Source organism: Homo sapiens, chromosome 12, assembly GCF_000001405.40.
Source record: "Homo sapiens chromosome 12, GRCh38.p14 Primary Assembly".
Lineage (NCBI taxonomy): Eukaryota > Metazoa > Chordata > Mammalia > Primates > Hominidae > Homo > Homo sapiens.
In genome coordinates this window covers 44,665,158-44,677,402 of record NC_000012.12, presented here as the reverse complement: position 1 = coordinate 44,677,402, position 12,245 = coordinate 44,665,158, and the positions used below count along the sequence as shown (strand labels likewise).

Genomic DNA, 12,245 nt, shown 5'->3' with positions numbered 1-12,245 from the left:
TATGACTCAGATTTACTTTCATGGTACACTCTACTGCATCTTTTACATTTTACAGCATGTGTATATATGACATGTTTTAGAATAATTTAAAAAACTTCAGTGATTACCATTGATTATATGATAATGTCAAACTCTCATATAGTGTGTAAGACCTCCACACAAATGCAGCTCCTGCGTACTTCATTAGGTGCATTGAGTACTTTGCTATCCTTCAAGCATACCAAATTCTCTTAATTTCCAACATTCTTCGCATATAGTCTCCTTGTTTGAAATGCTCTTTTATTGCATCTCACCTGGCTACTTTTCCTTTAGTCCTATGCTTAGATGTTAATTTCTCCCTGTTTGTAAGACTGGGTTTGGAGCCCTCACTTTGCTTTCCAGATGGCGCTGTCCTTCTCAAACTCCCATTCCATTTTTTAAAATTACTAGTTGTCTCTTTTGTCAGATCCTAAGCTCTGCAAAGACAGATACTGCATCTGTTTCATTCAGGCTATGCTGTTGGTATCTAAGTTATTATAGTACCTTGGACATAGTAGGAAGTCAGAAACTATTATATGGACAAATCTACACATGCCTTTGTTCCCCACATTCCACATTCTCTCATTTTTCTCCATGTGTGTTATTTATGATACACTCTCAACCCTGTCTGAGATTTTCCTAGTGCATGTCTCTATTTTTTTTAATTCAGGAATCCCAAAGCTAAGAATAATATATTCTATCAAGACTAGCAAGAAAGCTGATATAATGCCAGAGCTTTCACTCTTTTTGAGGAATGTACCATACAATTTACAATGAATGAAATTACAAAATGAATGAAGCAAATTTGTGGCCATTATTTTGAGATGTCAAGAAAATCATATGTTTCAGTCTTATCCTTCAATCATACATTCAGATGAATACAGTTTTTAATACATAGAAATTAATATATGGTAAACAAACTCATTAATGCCACTGACTTTAAAGCATATGATAGCTGGCAGTTCCTTTCAGTGTTAGCTTATTTGTAAATGATATTTTAATTTATTCTTTACTGGTATTTCACTGAGCAGCCTACTTAAACTTAGAAATTTTATATTTAAAAAAATTCTTATCTTCCCAAATGTTACTCTCAAATCTCTTTCCAGAATTACATTTCTTAGAACTTAGTCTTTATCCTAGTTTGTGAATTATTTTATTGATATCTTTGCCAACTTTGCCAGCCAGTATTTCACAGCTGGTGAGTCAAGACTTAGCAATAACCCATATTGATCTGTATTATTTTTCAATATGTGGAGTCTTTGCAATTGAGCTGCATGACTTCAAGATTTTATTGGGTGATCAAGAAGGCATTAGTGTTCATTAACATACTAATATAATCTTTTTACAGGATATAATCAAGATAAATGTAGCTTTGGAAATACACTATACTTTAAAAAACAAAACAGCACCAGTGACATCCTAGGTATAATGTGGCAGGAAAGGGAGTGTCATGCCTGAGTGCTCACTGCCTCTGAGACTCGTCTGGACGTTGAGTCCATAGACTAATTTTAAACCTGGGGTCTAGAAATGTTGCTCTTGTTATGGCTGCCACTCATTAACTATATAAGCCTGTCCTAGAGGGATCTTCCAAAAACACAGATCTGATTCAGTTAATCACCTCTTAAAACCTTTCCCATTTTACATAGGATGAAGTCCAAATTCTTTAATATGGCTCACAAAAGCTTTGTGATCCCATACCTGCCTCCTCTTTAATTTGTTTCTGGCTTCTCTGTGCCTCTGTTTCTTCAATTCTAAATTACTGGGGTTAGATGATTTCTAAAGTTCCTCTCAGATCTAAAAATCTATGATTCCGAATAATTACAAAGTTGGCCTCATCTTTCAAATAGGATAAAAGGGAATTTATAAATGTATAAATTCTAGTTTCTAAAATAGACCAGCTTGAATTATCCTGGGGCAAGAGAAGCTGTTCAAGTATAAGAAACACTGTTTACTTTTGCTTTTTAAATGTGGTAGAATATGACTGTATAGCTTACAAAATCCTGGAGAATCAGAAACCACTGCAGCCACATAGATGACGTTCCCTTTGTTGGAATTGCAAAGTTTTGTGGCTAGTAGTGACTTGAAAATTATCTTTTAATGATGAAATTAAGGTCTGAAGGGACTAAATGCTTGTCAGGTTTGTAATAAATGCAGGTCCAGAGTTCAGGCTTCTTTATTCTCACCCCACTTTTCCTTTACTATGCAAGACTGTTTCACCAGGATGGCTTGTATTTGCTATTCATACAAAAGCCCATGTCTAAGTAAATGCCCAGGCAGTGTGCTCAGAAGACAATGAATTCACTCTGCCACGTTGAGCTTCACATCAGACCATTGTAAATGAGGACACTTTCCCCTTTGTCCTTTTAAAGGAAAAGCCATAAAAAGATTCACTGATTCATTCAACAGATATTTATTCAGGGCCAGCCTTTGTTGTGGACAAGCTCTCTACCCTCTTGAATCTTATATTCCAAAGGACATAGCTAGCAGATATATTAAAAAAAACTTAATAAAATACTTTCAGATACCAATGAAGATACCATATGAAGAAATTTGGACTGGGTAGATTACTTAAGATTAGTAACCACTTAAGACTCGGACTTTTATTAATTCATAAAAGGTCTTCTTACCTTGAATGCACTTCTTACCAATTCCTCAGTTATGCCATTTTACCAACTCTCATAAGATATACCTATACCTCCTCCCTACCCGCTTCTTCCAAATGCTTTAATGTCTTTATATCACTACAAAGACAGTGCTGTCCTCGTATTTGTTGGTCATTTAAATACATTCACATTATGTCCCCTTTCCCATAATTGTATTTCCATTATTTTCCTGCACAAATGCTAATTAAATGGATTATTTATTGTTCCTGAACATTTCATGTTTTTGCTCCTTCTGCAGCAAAATAACATGAGGTCTTACATTATAAGTGAAGGGGATTTCTTCAAAATCCACCTGAAGCCCTGCCACACCGTTATATTTTCCCTGGATATCTCTACTCTTAGTCATTAACCTTTCTCTGAATATCAGTCCCTGTAGGATTTGTGTGTGTATGTGTGTGGGTTTTTTGGCACTTACAATGTAGGAACTCATGTTGTTATTCATGTAAATATATCTTGGATTTTTAATTTCGCTATCAGCTTCTCAAGTTGGTAGGAGGGGGCAGAGTCAGAAAATTATTTATATCACCAGATATAAATTCCCAAATGTGTTCTGCATTAATGGGTTCTCAGAACAAATAAGCACTGTGTTTTAAAAAAAGTCTGTTGCTCCCTATTCAATGCACAATGTATATGTTTCTGTTATATAGTATGCATCACTTTATAATGTTATCATGTATATGTTATTTTCTCCAGCTAGAATTTATCTTTGTCACCTAATGCAGTACTTGGAACATAGTGCATGTCCATTATATACTCGTTGAGTAAATGAATGAAGTTTTTTTTTTTAAAGTGTCTCAGAGCTCATAATTAGCTTATGTACATTATGAGTGTTTAGAAGGCAACTAGGAAGAACTATAGTAATATAGTGGTCTTGAAACTTATTTGACCATGTAATATTTTGTTTTCAAGGAACCATGAACCTCTATTAGAGATATTGCTCTTTAAGCAATGCTGCTTGTGAAATGCTGGCTTCAAATATAGAAGGCAGCTAACTGGTTGACAGTGATAATGATCATCATCCATTTCCTGGATTGTAAGCCCTTTTAAGGCAGGGTCTATCCCTTAACTCTGTAATAAATTTTGGATGGGATGCGAAGGTCCATGTGGCCCAGTGGGGCACTCTTTGTTTAATTCTCTACAACATAACCAGCTTATGTCAGAATATTTCTACTTGGCAGCCTAATCAAAACCTGTGCAGTTCTTTCTGCTTAGTAGAAAGTCATAATAAGTCAAAACCTACCCCTGATACTATCCACTTGTCGCTGTGGTTCTACCCCATAGGGCCATCAGAAAATCCAATAAAATGCCTTTGTACATAGAATATACTCAGTGAATGTGTAGAGAATTGAAAATGAATTGTGAGAATTTGACTTATATTAGGTTTTTGAATTGGGATTTGGAACTAAAATACACCCTGGACTAAATTTGACATGATTTTCCACCAGATTACTTTTTAGTCATGCCATTTTTATGCCTGTAAATATCTGTACATGTAAATGGAAATGACTTTTATGTAACTTTGCAATTTCAGTACATAAACGCAACTCTTTGGGGAGTTCTTCCTCTGCAGACAGGGCGTGAGAAATCAAAAAAGGCAAGCGGCAATTAGATCTACAGAGTTATGGTGGTATTTTTTGCTATTTTTACTTCGCTCTGTCTCACAACACTACTCCAAGTAATAGGCTGACACTTTAGATCTCTTGGTCATGAATCTTATATGTCTATGAGATCCAAATCATTGAGTTCGTAAAAGGTTTCATATTCAATAGCCTTTTTGTTTTTGCTTTATGATCCTACGTGGAGTTTTCTCTGACCCTATGATAGCTTAAAAGGGAAACATCTATAAAAGAAGATTGGACAAGTCACTGTCTCCTAAGCCTCTGGGATGTAGACCCAACACTGAACATTGAGAGACAGTTTTTAGAAGGCCAATTTACTCTTGCACAATCATCTCCATTTATGTTTATAAATAAAATTATCCACCATTGTGGCTGTAAATAGGGTCACATTAACAGAAATAATTCTAATTCACTGGCTCTTTTCCCCACCTCTCTCACAGAACTTTAGTGCCATCAAAGTTCCCATCTCTTAAGTATTCTTGGGAGATATCTGAGGTATTTCACACATACTTATGAGTTCAATTAACAAAGTTTGATAGCTACTTCTGCTGGGGTAGGCTACATCTATGGTAGTAGTCCCCAGTCTTTTTGCCTCCAGGGACTGGTTTTGTGGAACACAATTTTTCCACGGAACCAGGGGTGAGGGCTCTGGGGATGGTTTCGGGATGAAACTGTTATACCTCAGATCATCAGGCATTAGTCAGATTCTTATAAGGAGCACACAACCTAGATCCCTCACATGAACAGTTCACAATAGGGGTTGCACTCCTATAAGAATCTAATGCCACCTCTGCTCTGACAGGAGAAGGAGCTCAGACAGTAGTACTCACCTGCCACTCACTTCCTGCTGTGCGGCCCACTTCCTAGCAAATCAGGGACTGGTACTGGTTCGCCATCCCGGGGTTGGGGACCCCTGTTCTATGGGATATTATTTTGTCTTTGGAGAGAGTTATGTTGCCTAATGTAATTAACGTTTGCTCCAGCTGGGACTCACTGTCCTGTTCTAGACACTGAAGCTGCTTTCCTATCTGTACCAGGAACTATCATCTCTCACCAGGAACCACTTTTGTTTGAGGAAATGCCACAGTGTGATCAAAATAATTCCTCTCTCTGATAACCAGGGTGTTTTCACTGAATTGTTTCTTATAATTGGCTCTTTCATCCCCATGGGTAAATTGTTCATATCTTTGTGCACATGGACTTGTTGATGGGACCCTCTCTAGCTCACAAGCTTAAGCCCAGGGGACTCCTACTATGGCTTTCAGAGGGTCTGGGTCTAATTAAGCAGTAAAGCCATTTTGTCTTTGGATTTTCTCTGTTGGGAGACTTTTTATTCCCGATCCAGTCTTGTTACTTGCTATTGATCTGTTCAGGTTTTTTATTTCTTTCTGGTTCAGTCTTGGTAGGTTGTATGTGTCCAGGAATTTATCCATTTCCTCTAAGTTTTTAAATTTATTAACATGCAGCAATTCATAATAGTCTTTTATGATCCTTTCTATTTCTGTGGTATCAGTTACATGGTCCCCATTTTTGTTTATCTGGTCTTCTCTCTTTTATTCTTTGTTATTCTATGTAATAATTTATTTTATCTTTTTAAAAAGCCAACATTTCATTTTGTTAATTCTTTGTATTGTCTGATAGTCTCTGTTTTATTTCTGGTCTGATCTTTGTCATTTCTTTTCTTCTACTAATTTGGGTTTGGTTTGTTCTCACTTTTGCAGTTCCTTGAGGTGCATTGCTATATTGTTTATTTGAAATATTTCTACTTTTTGATGTAGGCATTTATTACTATAAGTTTCCCTCTTAGCGCTGTTTTTACAGTATCCTTTAGGTTTTGCTGTGTTGTGCTTTCATTTTCATTTGCTTAGAGAGAACTTTTTATTGTCTTCGTAATTTCTATATTGGCCCAGTGGTTGCTCAGGAACATGTTGCTTAATTTCCATGTATTTGTACAATTTCTAGAATTTCTGTTGTTATTGATTTCTAGTTTAATTCCATTGTGTTCTGAGCAGACACTTGATATGGTTTCAATTTTTAAAACTTTTGGAGACCTGTTTTGTGGCCTAACGTGTTCTATCCTGGAGAACTTTCCATGTATCGGTAGAGGAATATTTATTCTGCAACTATTGGGTAAAATTTTCTGTAAATGTTAACTCCATGTAGTATGTAGTGCAGATTAAGTCTGATCTTTCTTTGTTGATTTTCTGTCTATATGATCTGCCCAGTGCTAAAACGAGGGTGTTGAAGTTCACAGCTATTGTTATATTGGGGTCTCTCTCTTTAGCTATAATAGTATTTTCTTTATATAACTGGGTGCTCTTGTGTTAGGTGCGTATACAATTACAATTGTTGTATCTTCCTACTGAATTGATTCCTTTGTCATCTATATTGACCTACTTTGGCCCTTTTTATGTTTTTTAACTTGAAGTCAATTTCTGATATAAACATAGCTACTCCTTCACACTTTTGGTTTTCATTTGCATGGATTTTTTTTCGTCCCTTCTCTTTTAGTCTATGTGTATCTTTATAGATGAAATAGGTTTCTTGTACTTGCATCTTGTTTTTTAATACATTCAGCTGTTTTATATCTTTTAATTGATGAATTTAAGCCATTTACTTTCAAGGTTTTTATTAATAGGTGGGGATTTCTGTCATATTGTTAATTATTTTCTGATTGTTCTACATATTCTTTCTTCCTCTTCTGTTGTTTACTTTACAATTTGATGGGGTTTTTTTATAGTGATAATATTTGACTCCTTTCTCTTTCTTATTTGTATATCTGCTCTACCAGTGAGTTTTATACTTTCTTGTGTTTTCATGATGGTAGATATCTTTCTTTCACTTTCAGATATAGGATTACCTTAAACATTTTTTGTAGGGCTGGTATAACGATGATGAATTATTTCATTATTTTCTCATCTGAGAAAGAATTTCTTTACCCTTCATTTTTGAGGGATAGCTTTTCTGGGTATAGTATTCTTGGCTACCAGTTGTTGTTGTTTTTCTCTTTCAGCACTTTGAATACATCACTCCCTTCTCTCCAGGCCTCTAATTTTCTGCTGAGAAATCAAGGTAGTCTGATAGGGATTCTTTTATATGTGACTTGATGCTTTGTTCTTGCTGTTTGTCTTTGACTTTTGACAGTTTTACTATAACGTGCCTTGAATAAGACCTTGTTGAATTACAGCTATCTGGGAATCTTTGAGCTTCATGTATCTGGATGTTTAGAGTTGGGAATCTTTCAGCTGTTGTTTGTTAAATAAGTTTTTGATGCATTTGTTCATCTCTTCTCCTTCTGGAACTCCCAAAATTCAAATTTTAGTTACTATATAGTTTCCTATAGGACACCTAGGCTTTCTTCATTTCATTTTATTCTTCTTATTCTGTTTTATTTCTTTTGATTTTTGGTCTGACTGAGTTATTTCAAAAGCCCTGTCTTTAAGTTCAGAAATTCTTTCTTCTTCTCCTTGATCTAGTCTATTGTTGAAGCTATTACATTTTTTATTTTATTCTTTCAGTCATTGCCTTTTAGGATTTCTGGTTTTTTCTTTTTATGGCATCTATCTCTGTTGAATTTCTTATTCAAATAATGACTTGTTTCCCTGATTTCTTTGTATTGTTTATCTGTGTTTGCTTGTATTTCACTGAGTTTCTCTAATGTCTTTCTTTTGAATTCCTTTTTAGACATTTTATAGATTTCCTTTATGTTGGGATCTGTTACTTGATAATTATGATGTTCCTTTGGAGATGTCATGTTTCTTTGTTTTTTCATGTTTCTTATGTCTTTATGTTGATATCTGTGCATGTGGTGTAACAGCCTCTCCTTCCAATTTTATGGTTTGGCTTTAGTAGGGAAAGACTTTTTTCTATAGATGTGTACGTATTGTTGGTTTAGTAAGATGCTTTTGCTTTGATTCTGGGTAGGCACAATATTGTAGTCTGTATGATTTATCGGGCTATAATTAGTATCATTGGTATCTATGAGTTCCTCAGTGACTTAAGCTGTGATTGTTAGTGGAGGCTTTGGTGATGCTTTGCTGGGAATGGGAATCCTAGGTGGGCTGGTCCCTGGGCACCAGTGGTGCATTGGTGGGCTGGGTGTGGCTAGTCCTTGGGCCCTCAGTGGCCTTCATGGGCACCAGCAGTGGCAGATATGGGTGGGCCTGTTCTTGGGCCTCTGGGTGGTGTGCTCAGGTTCTGGTAGTTGCAGTGGTGGGCCAACTGAGTGGGTCCTTGATCACTTAGACAGCATTTGTGACACTGATGGTGGCACTAGTGGCAGTTTTCCAACCCTCAGGTCTCTGAGCCACATGCCCAGGTACTAACGGTGGTGGCAGTGGGTTGGGCATGCTGGTTTCTGGGTTCCCTAAGAGGTACATGTGAGTAGTGATGGTGGGTGGGGTAGGCCTGTCCTTAATGTCCCTGGATAGTGTGCGTGTATTCCAGTGGCAGCAGGCATGGCGGGCCTATACCCAGGCTCCTGGCCAGCATAAGTGGGCAGTGTGGGATGATGTCCAGATTGTGATAGTGCACGTGGGCACCAGCAGTGGTGGCAGCAGGAGAGACAGGTCTCTCAAGAACCATGATGGTGCACCTGGGCCCTGGCTGTGGTAGGTAGGATGGATCAATCCTCAGGTCCCTGGATAAAGCATTTGGGTGCTGATGGCAGGGGCATTGGGTGGGACAAGCCTATCCTCAGCCCCCAGGAGGGCACATGGCCAGTCCTGAGGTCTCCTAAAGGCAAGTATGGGTACATGGTAGCCCTGCTGCTGGAGAGGGCAGGATCGTTGTCATTGGCAGTGACCCTGGGCAGGCGGCTCTCAGTTTCTAGGGAGGGTACGCTTTGGCTTCCTTTGTCCCAGGGGTTGCTTCCTCAGTGTGTTGCATCATCTATTCCCCAGTGTGTAGGACATTGTGTGGACTAGAGTGCTGGGGACCCGCTTGCACTGATGGGTCCAGCTGGTATTATGGCAGCATAGCCCTCTGGATGGATGTGAAGGGATGCCATGGTGCTCTAGGGATGTAGAAAAGCAGGGGCTTTTGGGCCTCAGGACAGGATGTTGTCTTTTGAGGGATGGCCTCTCAAAACTGCACCATGCTGTAGTTGCTTTGGTCTCAGGAGGGTTTGTAGGACCCTATGTGAACTCCCTTTCCGGAACAATGCCATCCTATGGATTCTAGGCAGTTTCCTATGCTAGGCTCAGGGCCTGTGAGGGCCCAGGGTCTCTTTTGTGGCTAGGATTATATGAGTCTGTGGTAGGAATGTGGACCTCTGCAGATCTTTCACTTACCTTTCCTCACAATAGATAGTTCCTCCTGGCTTTGAGCTGATCTTGCCTGGGCCAACTGCTTCACTTCTCTCTCCCATGCCTCAGAGGTTCTCTGACACTTTCCTGCTGAATTTCAGAGTTATCTGTTAGAAACTCAATTTGACATGTGGCTATCTACTCGCTGTTATGATCCTTGTCTGTCGAGGAGATGAGTACCAGGCTCCTCTAGTAAACATCTTGAATCCTCACCCTACTTAGTGGTGATTGTTAAACTTGGTTATGCCTTACGTCAGAAGTCATCAACTTATGACCTGTGAGCTGAGCCGAATCTGGCTGGCTCACCATCCATTTTTGTAAATGAACTTTTATTCCAACACTGCCAAGTTCATTAATTTACGTGTTGCCCATGACTTCCAAAGTCTAGAAAATTTACTATCTGTCCCTTTACAGAGTTTTTATTTTCCTGACCCCTGTATTACACTCATCATGGAGAAGATTTTTTTAAAAAAATCATTGCATGTGTTCCACCACAAACAAGTAAATTAGAATTTGGAATGGGTTTTTGGCAATTGGCCCAAGAACTAGTGTTTTTTTGTTTTTGTTTTTTAACATCCCAGATGAATATGATGGACAAAGTTAAGAAACACTAATAGATAATTTATACCATTGAGGAATATGTGATTTGTTTGGGAGAAAGAAATTTATAAAAATTAATAAAAATACAATTGATGCATCTATAATGGAAACATTTACAAAATCCTGAGGTAGCACTGCGTTGGGAGTATTTTAGTTCATTAGGGAAGTTTTTGTAGGAGGGACATTTAAATAGATTCTTGAGGGATTAATCTACCGGTAAACAAGATCCACTGGGATGGTGTCAGGGAGAGAAGGTATAGCAGTTATAAGTAGAGAGAACAGTATGTATAAAGGATGATAGGTAAGAAAGAGCAGGTAGGTTAGAAACTATGTGGCCAGAACACTGAGAGGGGAGAAGGGAGTGAGGTCATCAGATGTGAAATTGGAAAAGTAAAGACCAAACCAGGAAACATTTTGTAGGCTCAGATAAGAGGTTTGGAATTTATTATGCTGTCCATGGAATTGAATAGAAAATTGAGTTTCTCTAGGACTCAGTTTTGTCCCTCTATAAAATAAATAGTTAGCTCAGATGAATGATAAGAACCCTACAGTTCTAAAATATAGATTCCTGAGATTATGTCAATTATTTCTTTTGACATTCTCAGGGCGGGGAACATAGTTGGGCTTACACAAATGACATGGCCCCTGTAGTGGTGTATCACCTAGCTATCTCTTATAGTTGATCCATTTCTCTTAACAGTATAAATGAATTCAGTGCTACTTTGTGGAATCATTAGAAGGATATGAGAATGCAGACTTCTGGATGGGAAATTCCTTGTCTGACCAATGCATTAAGGTCCTTAAATACTTGTAAAATGATTTATGTTCTATGCAGAGAGATGCTATTAAATGAGGACAGTTTCATTGTGAAATGTGAATGTGAAAATTCACATTCTTCACAATGAGTAGCAGTGCTTCTTATGGGTTAGCATCCAGAAGTCATTATACATACTCAAAACTCAGTGTGTGAATTACCATGTAAGATCTTTAATATAATATCTTATTTTACTATTTTGTAACTTCTCATCTATATCAGGTCTCTATTGTAACTTTATCTGTATTTAGATACTTACTGGGATAGCTATATGTCTACTTTTATCTCTAATAAGCTTGTGCAATTGGCTTCATATCTTTAAGTGAAGTTGTTACAATTCTGGTTTATATCGAACACTTTATTTTCCTCTTTCAGGGTCTGCTCAACTGTACAGAATAGCTGGTGAATCAAACAATAATATGTGGCAGGCTCTGTGATTGAAGATTGCAGGATACTAAGGCAGCCCAGTCTTTGCATTCTGATTCATTTTATCAAGCATAGGCAGATGAATGCGCTGAAAATTTCAAAAGATATTTAGATGATGGAAGTTAAAATAGACAGACTTCTTCAAAACTCCAAGAAGAGCTGTTGGAAAAAAACTCATGATTTTTGTCATTTGAACATTAAACACTCCTAGCAAAGGAGATATCATGAATGCTTTTCTGAAATGCTATTCATTTAGTAAATACTTCCCTCTCCCTACCAAAGAAAATTATATAGGAGCTCCAGAATATTGCCCACTGTTGACCTCTTTGTCCTGTTTTTCTTCACAGACATCGATGAGTGTGCTGAAGGGCGCCATTACTGTCGTGAAAATACAATGTGTGTCAACACCCCGGGTTCTTTTATGTGCATCTGCAAAACTGGATACATCAGAATTGATGATTATTCATGTACAGGTAAACGGTGGCTATTTGTGAAATAAAATATTTTTATGTCTTAAGTTTACTTTTAAAAATTTCTTTGACTCTCATTTTTTTGATAAGTATACCATAAATACAACAAAACATTAGCAAAATCATATCTTCTTGATTTGGTAGTTATTTCTTAATCTGTTCTAAAGAAAAAAAACACCTGCTTGCTCTGGATAAATATATACTCCAATTTGGAAGATAAAAATCCTAAAAAATGAGTATATGCTACATTTATACTTAGTATTTATGCTCAAAATTTGTGTGAAATACTATGGTCAATCTGAGAAACAGTCCCTAAATGATATATGATG

The 12,245-nt window shown here is 37.4% G+C and overlaps 1 protein-coding gene across 6 annotated transcripts in view; it reads left to right on the top strand.

Moving 5' to 3' along the window:
- The window catches only part of NELL2 (neural EGFL like 2), a 413,574-nt gene that overhangs the window by 244,446 nt on the left and 156,883 nt on the right, over window positions 1-12,245 (top strand). For all 6 annotated transcript variants that reach the window (XM_011538396.2, NM_006159.2, NM_001145110.2 and 3 more), the window contains one exon: window positions 11,794-11,919. In XM_011538396.2, coding sequence (XP_011536698.1) covers window positions 11,794-11,919 — 126 coding nt within the window. The remainder of the gene's footprint in view (window positions 1-11,793; window positions 11,920-12,245) is intronic.